This window comes from Homo sapiens, chromosome 15 (assembly GCF_000001405.40).
Source record: "Homo sapiens chromosome 15, GRCh38.p14 Primary Assembly".
NCBI classification, from domain to species: domain Eukaryota; kingdom Metazoa; phylum Chordata; class Mammalia; order Primates; family Hominidae; genus Homo; species Homo sapiens.
The window spans coordinates 38,074,745-38,092,211 of NC_000015.10; the positions used below are offsets into that span (position 1 = coordinate 38,074,745).

Consider the following 17,467-nt stretch of genomic DNA (forward strand, 5'->3'; position numbering starts at 1 on the left):
ATACACACAGATAGAGAGAGAGGAGTGCTTGTCATATACCAAGTACCATACTAAGCACTTTACACGCATTCCCTCATTGAATGCTCACAATAGCCTATGAGGAAGATGCTATTACTACCCCCATTTTACAGAAAACAGACCAAAGCTGAGAGGGGTTAATTTTAACTTTATCAAGGTCACACAGATGTTAAATGGCCAAGTCACACAATGTGACTCCTGGGCCTGATCTCTTTCACGCTAGGCTTCACTGATACTTGAGGCACAAACACGTGGGGACACACTGGACACAGAGGTCTAGACTTGGAAGCCAGGAAAGCTCCAGCCAAGACATAGGTTTTTGTGTTTCAGCAAGGGAGGGGCTACAATGGCATGCCTGAAGGCCACAGGAGGGAGAATCTGCCTCATCCTACCCCACTTGGAAAGAAAGAAGGCCATGTGAGGACCTGCTAATTTCACACCGAAACTCTCTTTTGAGAAAGCAAAAGAGTGTGAATTCAGTCACTCCCTATTCTGAGCGGTCTTGTGATTTTATCTTTTAAACAATGCTCTGTAAACAATCGTGTCAAACCTTGCTAGTTGTCACGGCAAAGGGGACAAGACAGTGCTTAATTATACTGCTAATAAAATGTGCAGCCTATAATTGACACACATCACTTTTCCCCCATAACTCATTAGTCAAAACTAATACACCACCTCAACTACGATAAGTCCAGGAAATGAATTCCAGCCCTGTGCCCAGAATAGGGGACAAGAAGGACTAAAAATGCATGGTAACCAGCCCTAGTGATGACCATGACGCTCAATAAACACTGCTCTTCTTCCGATGAATGGCGAATACCAGTCCTTTTTTATAACTTCCTATTTTATAGCTAGTCCATGAGACTTTAGAGCAGCTCTCATGTGGAAGGCTCTGTAATCTCAGGAGTCATGCGTGTCATGACAAGATTCAACAAGAGCTTCTGGCTGCACCAGGCTACAAAGGCGTTCTCTTGCTTCTTATGAGCTCCACCATCCCAGAAGAGGAAAAAATGAAAATAAAGTCTTAAGGAAAATGGTCTGCTTTGGCATACCCAACTTGAAGATCATTGTGGGAGGGAGCAGGAAATATTCAAATAAAAGCAAAAGCAAATTTTGACCACAGAACTAAGAAAGTCTGTAGGAAAGATGCTGGAGTGACAGGAAACATCACTGACATTTTCATTTTCTCTCACATCAGATTTGCCCAGCTGTGTCTTATGGAAATGATTCTTAACCTCTCCTCAATATTTCCCAAACGAACTTGCCTTTGTTTTGGTGTTTTCTGAGCAATTCAAAGCTCATCTGGAGTTAATACGATACATACTTTGTTCATTGACTGACCTGTGTAGAAATGCCGATCAACTTCTCTCTTTTTTGACTTCTGCTTAACTTCAGACTCAAATTATCCTATCCTATTCTTATCTGATCATTCCTCGATTGTTGGGCATTGTAGATTGTTACTAATTTTTAAAAATCATACGTATAAAAAGAAGCACTAAAATAAATATTCTGGTACATAAAATCTCTCTCTGCGTATATAATTGTCTCCGGAGACTGGAATCACTCAGTAAAATTGTGCAAATTTTGCTCCAGAAAAGCACCCTGACCCGTGTCTTTACCTCTACTTGTAGAAAGACCACACAAAGGGAGTAGCTGCTGAAGAGAAACAGCATCACCTGGAGTTATGGGAATTACCTGGCCTTTGTGTTTCATGGACGACAGTGGAATTCAATTCTTCAGGAATATTGTTCAGGACGGTATATATGTCTCAAGATTTCCCTATTTACAAAATGTAGCATAAAAGTGGCCTGATTTTAAATGACTATACAACCACATAGCAACAGACTGCTTATGATCCAGTAAGTGAAAAAAGTGGACCCTACAATGACAATCAAATTTTTTTTAAATGCTGGCAAAAAGGAATGTCAAATACAACCTCAAAGTATCAATGTGTGCAGATAATAGGAATGTTTTTTTCTTGAATCTTCCAAAATTTTAGAATATGATGAGATTGGTTTATAATGATGTAAAAAAAAAAAAGTTGCATAAAGGACACATCTGATGAGAATGTGAGCTGGGAAAGCTGTGTCACAGCTGCACTTTCAGAAGTACCCGGCCATTGTTGCACTGGAGCCAGCCCCAGTTGCCTGGATGTAGAGGCCACATTTGGCATCCCCAGGGTTTTCATGTAGCTACTTCCTCTCCCCACAAACAGGCAACCACCCGGGCGGCTAAGCCAACAATGCGATGTCGTGCTTCATCACCAGACCTGACTGGGAGGCCCGCTGCAGGCCCCAGACCTCCTCCGAGAGAGCGGACTAAACTCGCAGGGGTGTTTCAGAGCAAAATGGTTTCAAAGCAAGAAACCTTTTAAAACAAACAGGAAACGAGCCCCTCAAACCCAAACCATGTGGAAAGATAGGCCACATGATTTAAACAAACCAACAAGAATACAAGTTTGTATAAATACCCTGGTACTTGCGCATTTCTAAAAATCATTGCAGTCCAATTGGGAAAAACCTGTTTAAGAAACATTTATTAAGAACCTTCATAGGCCAGGCATTGTGTTCATCTTAAGGTTTCAAATTAAATAACATCTCAGCCCTCCTGGGACACCCATTCTACCGAAAGAGATACACATGCAAATAATGAATCAAGCCTGGCAATATGAAAATTTTAATAAAAAAGGCAACGCATGCCTCTATCTTAACAGAAAAGGAAACTAAAAGGGCCCACTAGATTTAGCAATTAAGTAAAAAATTCCTAGGCTAGGGGATGAAAGATGCAGTGAATTGAGGAGGTAAGGTAATGGAGACGAAATAAACACTATTCTCTCAAGAAGCTTAGCTGAGAGGAAAAGAGAAAAGACAGGAGGATAACAGGTTAAGTTGGAATTCAGGATTCATGAGGCTATTTTCCCTAGTGGGAGAGGTGTGAATACGTTTGTAGAGTGAGAGGAAGATTTCAAGGTAGAAGTTGAAGATACAAGACAGGGACGATGGAAGGGGATGGCGTTCAGCACATATTTAACTAGTACAAGCTTTTCCTCTTGGAATTTTTACCCTACCAACCAGAAACACAACGTTTCTGCCCGTATAAAGAGCTCATCTTTTCCAGCTTTTCACCTTGCATGGTTTTAGCAGGACATTAGATGTATGATCCTGTCTTATGTAAATCTGGAATTTTAAAAAATAACAAAGATCATTTAGAATTTACGAATTTTTGTCTACTCTAAAAGGAAACAAATTTATAGCTATTTCATACTTCCCTTTGCATTTTCTTTCTTCCTCAAGATCATTACGTAAATGATGCGACTTCCAAGTTGTAAGAAACAAAGATGCACTGCAAATCACTGAGTCGAGAGAAACCCCGTTATCCATAAGTTAGTTTGATGAAGAAAAAGGGAAGCATTACCAGGGAGAATATTATATTTTTCTTTTCTTTTTGAAGTGTTTGAGATTTTAGTTACATTTCCTTTTAACTTATTTTAAATTATTTATTTTTTCAAAATTCACTGGTTTATCACAAATGTGCATCTGTTCACCAAACATGGATAAAATCAAAAGAATGAAAATATTTCTTAATAGAAATAATACTTTTTCCATGCATTAGTTGCTTTGCTTTTTTCTTCAGTTAATCAAAATTAATGTTGGTTTCCTAAAAACAGATGTTTGAGTGGAAAAGACAATAATAAAATGAAATAATCCTTTGCAATGAATTTTTTCAAGTCTTTCAAATATGAAACTTTCTGCAGAGTTCTAGTGGTCAAAGGAAATTACAGGATACAGGGTCTAGTCAGCTTGAATAGCAAATCTTATTTTATCCATTCTTGATCTTTTAGAGATAATGTTACAATCTAAAAATGAACACTTCCTGTTGCTGTGAACAGTAGACTGCCCATCGTTGCTAACATACAAGATATTTATTATTTCACTTCACACAGAACCAGGACCCAAACTAGCACTGATAAACGAAGTGGCCATGGAATCTGGAGTGGAAGCAGAGAGCTGAAAATACCACTGTCTTTTTTCAGATGGTAATTGTGTGTCTGAAAAGTACATAAATATTGTTTTCCTTTTCATTGCATTTTTGCTTTAAATACATTGTATTAGGTTGATCTTCAATTAACAGTCTTTTTTGATAATTTAGCCAGTTTTTCTCTCCCCAGCTTCCTCCTATGTTGTTTAGTAAGATATTGTCTGTAAATAAATAGTGTGGTGTCAGGGAAGGACAGAAGCATTTTAGAGAAACCCTTCAAGGAGTTATTTTGCAAAGCAAGAAAATTCTTGTTAGGTGAATAACCATCCCCTTTATTTACTATTTTGAAATTTGGGGTCTTCTATATTATGTTTTCTTAAAACAGAGCATTCCTGAATAGAAGAAGCCTATCAAAGAAACCTTCAACTCTGCCATTTCTGAAAACATAAAAACCCAAATGTGACTTATCACATCAGTACAGCATAAAGAATTTGGTCAAATTTAATGAAAATGGTCATAAGAAAAAAGATGGACAGAATAGAAAGCAGGAATCAATTATTTTACCACGTGGAAGCAACCTATGGTCTGGGCCGGGGATTGGCACACTACAGCCGTGGGCCAAGTGCAGCCTTCCACCTGTTTTTGTAAATAAAGTTTTATTGGAATGCAGCCACACACATTCGCTTATGTATTCTCTATGGCCATTTTTGTGCCACAGTGACAGAGTTGGGGAGCTGCCACAAAGGCCATATGGCCTGCAAAGCCTAAAATATTTACTCTCTGGCCCTTTATGGAAAAGGTTCGCTGAAGCTGGTCTAAAGGAGCATGAGGGCTGATGTCTGTTGGAAACATTACATAAACAATTACAAAATCTTTTAGACCTGTGGCTCAAAGAATGTCTGTACCTTTACCCAGAAAAAAAAGAGCAATTCAAAACTTATTTAGATAAACAATTGTTTCTTAAACTTTTAAATTGTCTGTTCCTGGCAACTGTAATAAGAAGTAGTAACTCCTTTTCTAATGCACTTTGAAAATTCATCTTTAAAAAGTATGGTTTGCCTTCCCATACCACTTTAGAATGTTAAGAGCCTCATCTAATGCTATATATATATACATATTTTGGTCAAAGTGGTTTCTTCCCCCACGTAATGCTCAGTTCTATTTTCAACATTTATCCTTCTATGTGAGGTTCTTCCTTCTAAACAATAGCTAATATCTTAGCCCACTTAGCTATTATCTCTATCCTTGGGCTCCTTTCAGTGTATTTGGGTTGGAGTTTTTTTTTTCTAGTGTATCTCTGGAAGTGTACTTGTCTATATTTATTCTGCAGATGACTAGTTCAGTGTGCTTCATTTTACTTCCTTCCTTAATAAACTATTTGTCAACAGTGTTTATTTTTTCCTCTCACCCTTTATCCTGTTGCAGTTATTTTTAAGGTGCTACTGATTCCCTGACACCCAAAATGCAAGGTAGAATATGTGACTTCAACTTCTCACACAGATTGTCAAAGGATCACATTAATCTTTGTTTCTCCTAAGGTAATTTCCACTGTTGTCATTCTCTGAAAAACCTGCCTGCTTATTAAAGGTCCTTTCTAATTGGGCACGGGTGGCTTATGCCTGTAATCCCAGCACTTTGGAGGCCAAGGCAGGCAAATCACCTGAGGTCAGGAGTTCAAGACCAGCCTGGACAACACAGTAAAACCCCGTCTTTACTAAAAATACAAAAGTTAGCCAAGTGTGGTGGTACAAGCTTGTAACCCCGGTTACTCAGGAGGTTGAGGTGAGAGGATCGCTTGAACCTGGGAGGCAGAGGCTGCAGTGAGCTGAGATTGTGCCACTGCATTCCAGCCTGGATAACAGAGCAAGACTTGACTCAAAAAAAAAAAATTGTTGGATGAAAACTAGTACACATGTAATTATTTCTTCTTAATAATCATTGCCAAAGCCAAAACCTTTCCAGATGGCTTCCAGAAACCTTGCCTTTCCCACATTTGAGAAAGTCCCCAAATAATAGCTTTCAAGGACTAAACTGCTTCTATTGATCTATAGGTCCCTACCGAGAGATAGTTTTACAAAGATTTCCATTGCCTTCACAGTTTTAGAAATGATGACTTTGCTTTTATCCCTGAAAGAGCCCATATTTTGAAATTCAATACTACACTTATCTTATTTAAAAGATTAGTAAGAGTCTTAGAAGAATTTGTGTGCCTCCCTGATAAGGAAGCCTGTGATATGCCCCCACATAGTCCTTGAAACAACATCCTGGTTTTTGAAATAAAATTTTTATACGGATAGAATATCAACCTACCCCCAATACATTTCAGAAAGATGAACAATCCCAGCTTCTTTACTTCCTCTAAGATGCTGATAGCAAGCAAATGTTGCAAGACTGCATGGCCTTTTTAGACCACAATTTATGTTGCTAATAGGCACATTGAAAACATTAAGACAGAAATATTTCATATTTTGCTGAATTGTAAAATCTGTCATTTGTTTTGGTATGATTCAATTTACTTTATAATATCTCGTTTGCCTCTGGTATTTAATAAATACTCTATTACCAACTAAGAACAATTTTAGAAAATACTACAAAATAAGAGAAAACTAAATTCTTTATTCCCTCTCTGGCAATATCCAATACTTCATCTCAGTTAGATCTATACAAAAACAATACCTGAAGTATCAAAGATTGATAATTTTTTATTGCAGCCAGCAAAGCCCCATAAAGAACCAAGTGTAGGCTAGGTACATCTAAAGAAGCAAAAGATGATAGACCCCAGATGTGGTCAGACTGGCAAAATTCATCACAAAAGCAATATAAAGAACCAGACTCTAGAATCAGGTAGACCTGGGTTTGCATCCCTCCCCCATTGTTACCAGCTTTGCTAGCTTGGGCAAATTATTTAACCTTTTTAAATGTTAGATTCCCTCTCTGTAAGGTAGTAATAATAATGGTGCACACCTTAAAGCGTTATCCTGTGAGTAAAATGAGACAATAAATTAATTATCTCAGTCCCTCAAACATAGTAAACTGCATCAGTTACTTATTATTGCATGGCAAGTCATGCTAAAACTTAATGGCATAAAGCAACAACTATTTATTTGCTCATGATTCTGTGGATTGGTGATTAGGGCTGGGCTCATCTGGGCAGTTTTTTTGCTTGTTTGTTTTTGTTTTTTGTTTTTTGTTTTTTGTTTTTTGTTTTTTGAGGTGGAGTCTCGCTCTGTCGCCCAGGCTGGAGTACAGTGGCGCAATCTCGGCTCACTGCAAGCTCCGCCTCCCGGGTTCACGCCATTCTCCTGCCTCAGCCCCCCAAGTAGCTGGGACTATAGGCGCGAAACACCATGCCTGGCTAATTTTTTGTATTTTTAGTAGAGACGGGGTTTCGCCATGTTAGCCAGGATGGTCTCGATCTCCTGACCTCATGATCTGCCCGCCTCGGCCTCCCAAAGTGCTGGGATTACAGGTGTGAGCCACTGCGCCCAGCCCGTTTTTTTTTTTTTTTTTTTTTGTCTCCACATGGCAATGACTGGACTCACTCATGTGATTACAGTCTTTTGACATGTTGGCTGGGCCAGAATGGTCCTGAATGGCCTTATTCACATATCTGGGGACTCAGGTGGGATATTTGGAAAGGTCAGAATGACTGAATGGCCTCTTTCTATTTTCCAAATGTTCTCTCTTTATATATATGTGTGGTACCTCATTCTAAAGGAGGTTAGCCTGGGCTTGCTCACCAGTAGCAGTATTCCAAGAAGACAAAGCATAGGAGCTTTGTTAGGCTTCTGCGTGCATCATGTTCACTGATGTCCTATTAGGCAAAGCAAGTCACACGGTCAAGCTCTGCATGACTCTAGGAGTACACTACACAAGCTGTAGATACAAGTTCACAACTCATTGGGAGCCATTCCTTGTTTACTGCTGTGATAAACTAGTAAACTGACTTAGTAAATTCAACTGTCTTCAGCATTATCACTATACTCATCATCATCTATTCAGGACATCTTAATCTGAATTGAGTTTATTATCTTTGGAGGAATAAAGAATTTCAGATTTCTAAGATCAGCAATTTAGCAGGCAGATACACATTACACAAGTATTTATTGAGCACCTGTATACACTTTGTTCTTTTTTAGGTGCTGAACATTGATAACAGTAAGTGACTAAGGCGCTCCCTGCCTTCAAGAAACTCATGTTCTAGTAGATAGAAGAGGAGACTTCAGAAAGAATGGTAAACACATCAAATGTTAAGGAAACCTGGACAATATTAGGGCTTTTATACTGAAGTTGTGAGCCTACTGAGAAATTTCTTCTATTGAATACATCGTGAAAATTCTTAGTCTTGATTGTCAAAGATTAAAGAAAATATGATTAGAAAATAGCACAGTGCATGATACATTGTATATATTTTATTTTATTTTACTATTTTGAGACGCAGTTTTGCTCTTGTCACCCAGGCTGGAGTGCAATGGTATGATCTCGACTCACTGCAACCTCTGCCTCCCAGGTTCAAGCAATTCTCCTGCCTCAGCCTCCCGAGTAGCTGGGATTATAGGTGCCTGCCACCACGCCCAGGTAATTTTTGTATTTTTAGTAGAGACAGGGTTTCACCATGTTGGCCAGGCTGGTCTCAAACTTCCTGACCTCGGGTGATCCACCCACCTCCACCTCCCAAAGTGCTGGGATTACAGGCGTGAGCCACCGCACCCAGCCAGATACATTGTATATATTTTAAAAACCCATGCCTGGGCATGGTGATTCACACCTCTAATCTCAACACATTGGAAGGGTGAGGCAGAGGATCCCTTTAGGTCAGGAGTTCAAAACCAGCTGGGGCAACATAGCAAGACCCTGCCTCAACTGAAAAAAAGTGAGAATAGAAAAAGAAAACCCTGAATACATCAGTGATTATTTTTACTCCTCTAGGGAACTTCATCTCCCTTTTCCTGCCATATGCCTTCAACCTTGGTTTTCAATGGAGAGTCTCATTATTAAGCTAGATTAGGGTTCAACAAGAGTGTTCCTACTCTTGTCTGGAGCTGTTTGAAATGATTAGCTCATAAAGCAATGTGATCAGCCTTTAGCTTAAAACTCCACCTAAGCAAATTCTTACAGTATAGGATTACACATCCAGGACCCTAAAATTCAGCAGATCTTTTTTACCATCACTTTGGAGGTAAGTCAATAGATATCTATTATAATTCTGAAGTAGTCTGAAAATCCCTGGACATTGCAAGGATATTCTAAGGACATACTTGGCATCTTAAGGGATAAACCCACAGCCTCAGGGCAATGAAGGGAATGTAGCACTATGCCAGATATCATGAGGACACAACAGGCCGCAGGAGCCCAGCATCAATTGATTATGTACAGAACTCTGGCTAGAAGTGGGGAATCAAAAGCTCCAACAAATAATTTATCATGAAAGTTAAAATTGAGGAGAAATGTGGGATTAAATACAAAAAGGAAGATCCATTCTATGCATAAAGGAATGAGGATGGAAGCTTATTGAAGCCATGAGCCATCATCGTTTCAGCTGAACATTGATTAGGCACCTATTATATGCCAAACACATATCCTGTCTAGATTCTAGAAATATATAGAAAAATAGAGTATGAGTAGAATATGAGCTTCAGGCAGACTGACCAACCAAAGGAAATGATCAAAAGCAAAAGTTGGGTCAGTCAGAAATCAAAATGCAGGAAGCTGGCTGGTGTTATACCACAAAGTGTGCTGTTTTTACATGGTATAGAGTCAGTTCCTCTGGTTGAGCCTTCCTTGACCACAGGCAATTAGTCATTGCTTCCTCCATCCCTACAGCTCTCTGTTCTTACCTCTACTGGAGAATTTATCCTGTTCTACCTCTTTTACTTTTTTATTTTCTTTTCAACAGAATTTGTAAGTCTCAATGTTCTACCTCTTTATGTTTGCTTTTCCCTAGATTGTATCTTCAACCCCTAGCACAAACCTTGGCATATAGGAGACATGTAATAAATGTGTTTCCATGATAAGCTTGAATCAATTAATAAAAGAGGAAAGTAACGTGCCTTGTTTGAAACCTCTCTTTAAGGCCACAGGTCTTGTCCTGCTGTATTAGAAAAGGCTGTTCTAAGAAAAAGGACTGAGTTAGAATGAAGTACATCCTTCACTCATCTTACAAAACCCTCTTTAAATTTCTTTAATACATAACTTGATGTAACACTGCAGAACTCTATAACTAAGTTAATGGCAATTCCAATTTAATAATTTTATTTATCAAGAAAGCTATAGGAAATAAAATCTTTCCATTACAGTAACAATTGGTTTGTCTATTGTACACTTCTTAAGGGCAAAAATTAAAAAGCATGTTTAAGGGAAAATAAAAGTTAGACATTTCAAGAAAATTGATATACCGTGAACCTCATCTTTCTATATGATGGTTTTCATATTCACTCGAAGAATGGGATTTAACTCTCTTCTCTCTCTCTCTCATTGTCTCTCCCCACCTCTCTCGCACGTGTGCGCGCTCACACACCCACACCCACCCACACACACAGACACTGTGGTACTTTAGTCTCATTAACAGGTGCCTTTCAGCTACTTCCTTTTTCTAAAACAAGAAGTATTGAGTCAGCAACTTGGCCAGGGGGAACTCAAAACAATGTCTATTAATAATGAAGACTTCCTAATGTTGGCAAAATCTGTTTCCCCTTTAGAAGACTGAGAGAGCAAGCTACTAAAAGTTAGTATCCCTCACGAAGTCAAAGAGATTTAGGAAAAGCTTTCTAGAAGTCTTGATTTAGTTAAAATTTGGGCCACATATTTTGGGACAGAGCCCAGAGTTCTTTATGTTGGCTGTTGATAGAGGCAGCTTCCATTTCAAGATAAAAACTAACAAATAATTAAAATGTGTTAAATATTTACTGTGTTCTAAGTATTGTGATAAGCTCTTGTATGAACTTATTATTTGACCCCAACAACAGCCCTGATAGTGAAGCTGGGAGTGGAGATCTGGTCTTTCTGATTTAAAGGAGATGCTCTTTGCTGTTACCTTAAACTGTGTTCATCTGAAGTCCCTAATTTAGGATAAACGTGGGTGAGACATGGATGGAGTCTCTATTCTGAAGAACTTGCATTCCACAAATTTCTCATTGAGAGAAGCAGAGAAAGAGAATGCCAGTTTCCCAAGATGTCTCAGGAATAGGATTCAGGGTTTGGGATTGAATATCAGACAAACCTACATATTCCCTCCCTCTGCTTACATTGTAAGGTGTTGGCTCATTTCTGAAAGCAAAGGCATTTAAACTATCTCACGGACAACTCACTCTGGCCCAAACCACCACATTCACTTGAAACAAGAAGTGTATGCAGTGGTTCAGGGTGACCCAGCTAAGAGCAGTCCCATTTAAAGCTATTAAGTGTGGTTTCTTTTTCAGTGAGGTCATCCTGTTTAATCTCTCTGAATTGAAACAGCCTATAAAGCAGCCTCTCAAAAAGCTTATCTCAATTTGTTTCTGGGTGGACTAGAAGCTTCAACTTTTTAAGAGTGCCTTCTTAAAGTGAGGAGGAGGAAGAGTTTGGTAGCAAGAGGAAGGACTGGTAAGAAGGACAAAAGCAGTAAAATGTAGTCACATGGAGAAACTACTGAAGGGATTGCAAAAGGACACAGAAAGAGGTTGGGAGCACAGACAAGGAGGAAGTTTGAAGACTCCCTGTCCATTTTCTCACCATTCAGTAGATCTGTTCTTGCTTAGAACCAACTGTAAGAAAGAGAAGATATAGGAAGAATCACATTTCAGAGAATGTGTTTCCATATCCCACCATGGAAAACTGCCCACTGCAGTTTCAGCTTGTTTATAATGCATCACAGTGATGCCTTCCTGGAAACATGTATAAAATAAAAGGTATATGTCTTATTTAAAATTCTCTATTGACAGGTTTCTAAAATCAGAAACTTTGGGCGGAATGGGGAGGATGTGAGTAGTAATCTCACTTGAACATGCCCTCCAGGTAAAGTTAGAGGACCAGTGGCTTCTATGCCTTTGTCTCACCCACACATCTCCAGCAGGAAAAGACAGTCAAAGCCATGTGAGCGTCCTTCAATTCAGACCACCAGATAAAAATAGATCTGTATATTCTGATTGCTCAAGTGAAAAACAAGTTGCAGAATAATATGAAGAGCATGATATCATTTTATCTATATGTATCTGTCTATCTGCTTTGTTTATTAACAGCAAATTTCCCAAGGAACTTTGTTTTTTTGATAGTTACATTTAGGGATCAAGATATTTGGGGGTGGGAGAGAGGAGACGAACTTTTTATGTTTATGAACTTTTATACTTTGGTCACCATAAGAATTCCTTCCTTTAATATTTTTGTATTTTTTAAGTTTCACAGATGAATCTGATCAGCCCAAATTAGGAAACACTGTAGACAACTGGTTGTTAGTTTCTATCAGTTTAGTAGCCATTAAGTGACTGTTTAAACATTTGTTCATTGACTCTGTGATTCTCTCAGGCTCACTGTTTTCTGTAGCTTCCTTAGAAGTCTTGCTCCAGAATATACGTGCATTCAAGATGGGACATCCTTGGGGTAGCACCAGTCTACCAGGACCAGCCTTGGAGCTCTGCAGCACAGAAGCTTCTCAAATTCATTGCACCAACAGGTCCACAGTTCCCCACATTGATTCAGCAGCAGTGTGGCCAGATCCAGGAAGATGATACTGAGAAAACCAATATGGTTTGCACGGGTGAATTCAATTAGCAAATATCAAAACCATTTGTCTAAAAGCGTCCTGCTTGTTCCCTCTACAGAGATCAATATGCCCTGTTAGCATCCAGGATGGAAAATAATATCCAAGAGCAAAACAAATCTGTGTCAGCATTATAATAGTCTCATCTTTTTCATTCACCTAAAAGCAAGAAGAGCCCCAGGCATAATTGTTAAGTACCTTAAACTTGTGTTCAGGTCTTTCTAATCTCCACTTTCCAAGCCTTTCTCATCCTCTTACTGCCAGGTGTTATGCTGGAAACCGAACTCCGTGTCTGTGCCCTGGAGTACCCAAAATTGACATTGGAAGGGAGCAGGAATTCTGCAGCACCCTCCCATGACTGCCTACCATGAAGAATGTTTAAAACTATTCAAGCAGCCGGATCATTTGAGGTCAGGAGTTCAAGACCAGTCTGGCCAACATGGTGAAAGCCCATCTCTACTAAAAAAAATACATAAAAAATTAGCGGGGCATAGTGGCATATGCCTGTAATCCCAGCTACCAGGCAGTCTGAGAAGGGAGAATCGCTTAAACTCGTGAGGCAGAGGATGCAGTGAGCTGAGATCATGCCTCTGCACTCCAACCTGGGCAACAGAGTGAGACACCATCTAAAAAAAAAAAAAACAGAACAAAACTATTCAAAATTGCTGCACCCAGCATCAAAATTATACCTTCTTCCTCCCTTCCCCATCCAAATGTTTAGTGTCTTAATATTTCAGTCTTATTTAGCTGTAACTAAAGAAGGCAATTCCAAAAAATCACACCAAGGATTACATCAGTAGTTCTCCATCTTGTCCCAAACCAGCATGCCTGGAAGCTAAGACACATGGAATAGTGGGGAAAAGGAGGAGAAAAGGGGGAGAAAAGGGGGAGAAAAGGGGGAGAAAAGGGGGACTGTTTCAGAATTTTAAGGAGGATGAAGCATGTAGTTTGAAAGAATCCTCAATTTCGATATGTAGTCTTTGAGTGACCTCTTTGAGAGTCATTTGATTAGCTATCTATTAATTTCATAGTCAATTTTCCAGGGGTATTTGTATGTCAATGGGGCAATTTTTTAAACCAAAACTGAATCTTGGCTGGGCCCAGTAACTCATGCCTGTAATCCCAGCACTTTGGGAGGCCGAGGTGGGTGGATCGCGAGGTCAAGAGATCGAGACCATCCTGGCCTACATGGTGAAACCCCATTTCTACTAAAAATACAAAAATTAGCTGGGTGTGGTGGCGCGCACCTGTAGTCCCAGCTACTTAGGAGGCTGAGGCAGAAGAATTGCTTGAACCCAAGAGGTGGAGGTTGCAGTTAGATGAGATCTTGCCACTGCACTCCAGCCTGGGTGACAGAGCGAGACGCAATCTCAAAAAACAAACAAACAAACATATAAACAACTGAATCTCTAATTATGTAACTACAGCTACATTGCTGGTCAGGAAGATATTTTGGAAGAAGGGAGCCTAGCTGGGTTTCCTCCAAATACACCAGTGAGTAACTATCTCACCTAATATTGGGCTTGCTGTTCTGCTCAAAACTTTGTGAAAGATTTGCTAAAAATCCTGTAGAACCTTCCCAGTAGGTCACTTGAAATTCCACTTATTAGGTTGGTCTTGCCAAAGTAAGGCAAGAGAGGAAAACTATGCATTCCATCACCTCTTTGTTTTTAACACAGTATTGACTCTTGAAACCCAGAGGAATGCTAACTTCCATAAGTTTCTCTCCTCAGAATGATATTTTAAGTCTGGAATGCTAAGAACTAACAACCTTCATTCTGCCCTTGTGGACAGGACATTCGTGGCTAGTTTACCTGACCTAGAATAGCCAGCTCTGTTTTTCTGATGAAAATCTTGGAAACCAATGTGGAAAATATAATGACAGTAGCCTCAGAAAACAAGGAAATATCCACCCACAAATACTCTTTAGAGCCCACAATATAGCAAATGCTTTGCCTTCATTTGAATGGTCACTTTACTTTCTCTAGGATACCTAAAAAATACCAATTTCTTAGCCCCTCTAACTGAAAATGAACTCCACTCTCAATATTGATCTACTCATTATACCCTAACCCAATCTCCAAATGTTTTTGTTGTCACCAAAACCAGAGTAACATCACTTTTACAAAAGCCAAATACCACCCCTAAAAGTGAACTACAAAGACATTGTCACCAAACAAATGTTTTGGTTTAGAACAATTAGACTTGGGGTCAGACTAACCTAAATAATCTTCCACAGAGTGAAAATATAATAGTCTAAAAGGCTAATCACATTTTTTATGAAATTCATTGCAGAAAAGCTGAATGTTGATTCCAGGCATTAAAATTACAGTCTAAGATCTAAAAGATGAATCTGACGTCCTTTCACCAAGAAAAGCTACCGTCACTTATTAGAAATCGACATGCTGACCAAAGCCTCAGAGTGAAATTCACTTGAAATTCTGGTACCCTTAAAAACTGTAGCCTTGAACTATCTGCTAGGAAGTTAACAAATATCTTACAGCAGTTTTTGTTTTAACAAGTCTCGTTGGTTGCAATTAACAGGAGCCTACTTGAACCATCTTAGTGAAAACAGGGGTTATTAAGGCAATCTCATGGATCCCAAGAGCAGGGAGAACAGGCCTAGAAGGAGCAGGGCGACACAGGAGAAAATTCTCCAGAACTAAGGCAGCAATTCATTTTCTTTCTCTCTCTCTCTCCCCCGCTTCATTCTGTCTCTCTCTTTCCCTGTGTGTTTCTATCTCTCCCTCCCTGTCCCTCCCTTCTCTGTTTCTGAGGATTTGCCTCCTTTTAACTCTCAACAGAAGCACTTTCTTGCTTCTCCCAGCCCAAGCTACAAAAGACCACCTCTCAAACAGCACAGTCTGACCAGAAGTTCAGTGGCAAGCTTCCGAAAGACAATTGGATTGGCCCATCCTGGGTGTGCTCTCTCTCTCTGAGTCAGTTGAGGTACATAGGGTCAGGGTCTTATACGATAAACATCAACATCTTGGGCTCCACTCCCAGAGGGGAGGAGGCAAGTCGCCTAGAAAAGAGAGTCCTTTTTGGCTGGGAAAATATTAATTATCCGTCTTCCTGAAAAAATATTTTTTAAATGTAAAGGTCAACAAATTGACAAATGGAAAAACTATTAGCCTAAACCTTTGGGAATTCTTTCCCTAGTTGTTTTCCACTAACATGAGAACTTATAAAATATCCTTTAGTGCTCTTTCTTGGGGGAAAAAACAAATATATACATATAAACAATAAAAAGACTCTTTTTTGGTCTGCTAGACTGAGAAGGTTCAGGAGACTCAGGCTCCACCACTAACTAGCAATGAGTAACTTTACTCCCTTCTCCACTGCTTTGGGGCTTTCCTTGCCCTATGCCAAACTCTAAGGCCCTTTCCAGCTCTGACGTTCTAATTCTTCGGAGGTTTTAACATCTGCTGTCATGATAACTATGTAGAAAAAAGGCCATCTGACTTGCACAGTGCCTTTTGGAGAAATATTTATTCAACGCAGAGATCAGCCAGGTCTATGTCTTGTTTGATTTTGTGCTTAGTGCTTTGGAACTCTGGAGATTAGAATTCATGGGGTAAATTGCTTGCTGTTGGTAGCTTTATTCACTCTTTTAAACTGTTTGGGTGCCAATTATGGAAGTCTCTAAAGGAATTGGAATATTAAAAGTGAATTAATTTACCTTATATTCACCAACAAAATTAACCTCCAGGGCATTCAAACATACTCCTGCTAAATGGGGCATTTTTTTGTGTGTCACTTAAATTCCAATGCGCATTCAAAATAATCCCCATGATAGTGCCCTAGGCCTTATTAAGTTCTGCTCTGGGAATTCATGCAAGAGTGATAGTGGAAGAGCATTAAACATAGAAAGAGAGCATCTTGAAGCCTGCTAACTCATTTCCTCTGATGCAAATCAATAAGCTTTTGACCACCACCACCAACATTATCAAAAAGCAGTTGCTCAGCAGGCCAGCCACACCTTCGACATCACATCCTTTCCCATTAGAACTGCTGAGTATGGCTTTTGAACTGGGCTGGATCAATCAGATAGGAAAGAAGATATCTCTATCACAAGTTTCCGCTCTAAAAGGAAAGTGGGTGCCTATTTTACAAGACTGATAATAAATCAGGGAAGTTTGACATCCACCAGGCCAACCATACTTTCTTTTCTTGAATATGTTTTCAATACTTTGAATACATTTTCAATACTTCAATACTTTGCTATTGAAGATACTTACAAAAGTCAATTAGGGATTTCACTACTAGAAATATTATCTTACAAATGGCCTCTCACCCAAAGAAATACTATGACTACCAAGAAAAAGCAAGGCTAGTCATATGTTCCATTGTAATGTATACAACTTATTGAGCACACATACCTGTCACATAATAAGTGACCAATAGATGTATGTTTTTCCTTCTTTTCTTCAGTTGAATCAAATGTGCCAAAAAAAAAAAAAAAGAGAGAGGGAGAGAGAGAAAGAAAGATGCTGGGCTGGGCACGGTGACTCACGCCTGTAATCCCAGCACTTTGGGAGGCCAAGGGGGCAGATCACCTGAGGTTAGGAGTTTGCGACCAGCCTGACCAACATGCAGAAACCCCGTCTCTACTAAAAATACAAAATTAGCCGGGGCATGCCTGTAATCCCAGCTACTCTGGAGGCTGAGGCAGGAGAATCGCTTGAACCTGGGAGGCAGAGGTTGCGGTGAGCCAAGATCATGCCATTACACTCC

At 39.5% G+C, this 17,467-nt stretch overlaps 1 annotated feature.

The window, feature by feature from the left end:
• Positions 11,271-11,330: a silencer, noted in NCBI's record as "silent region_6298". NCBI's record gives its function as "represses an Ori minimal core promoter by ATAC-STARR-seq in GM12878 lymphoblastoid cells {active_cell/tissue: GM12878}" and the evidence as "EXISTENCE:reporter gene assay evidence [ECO:0000049][PMID:35858748]".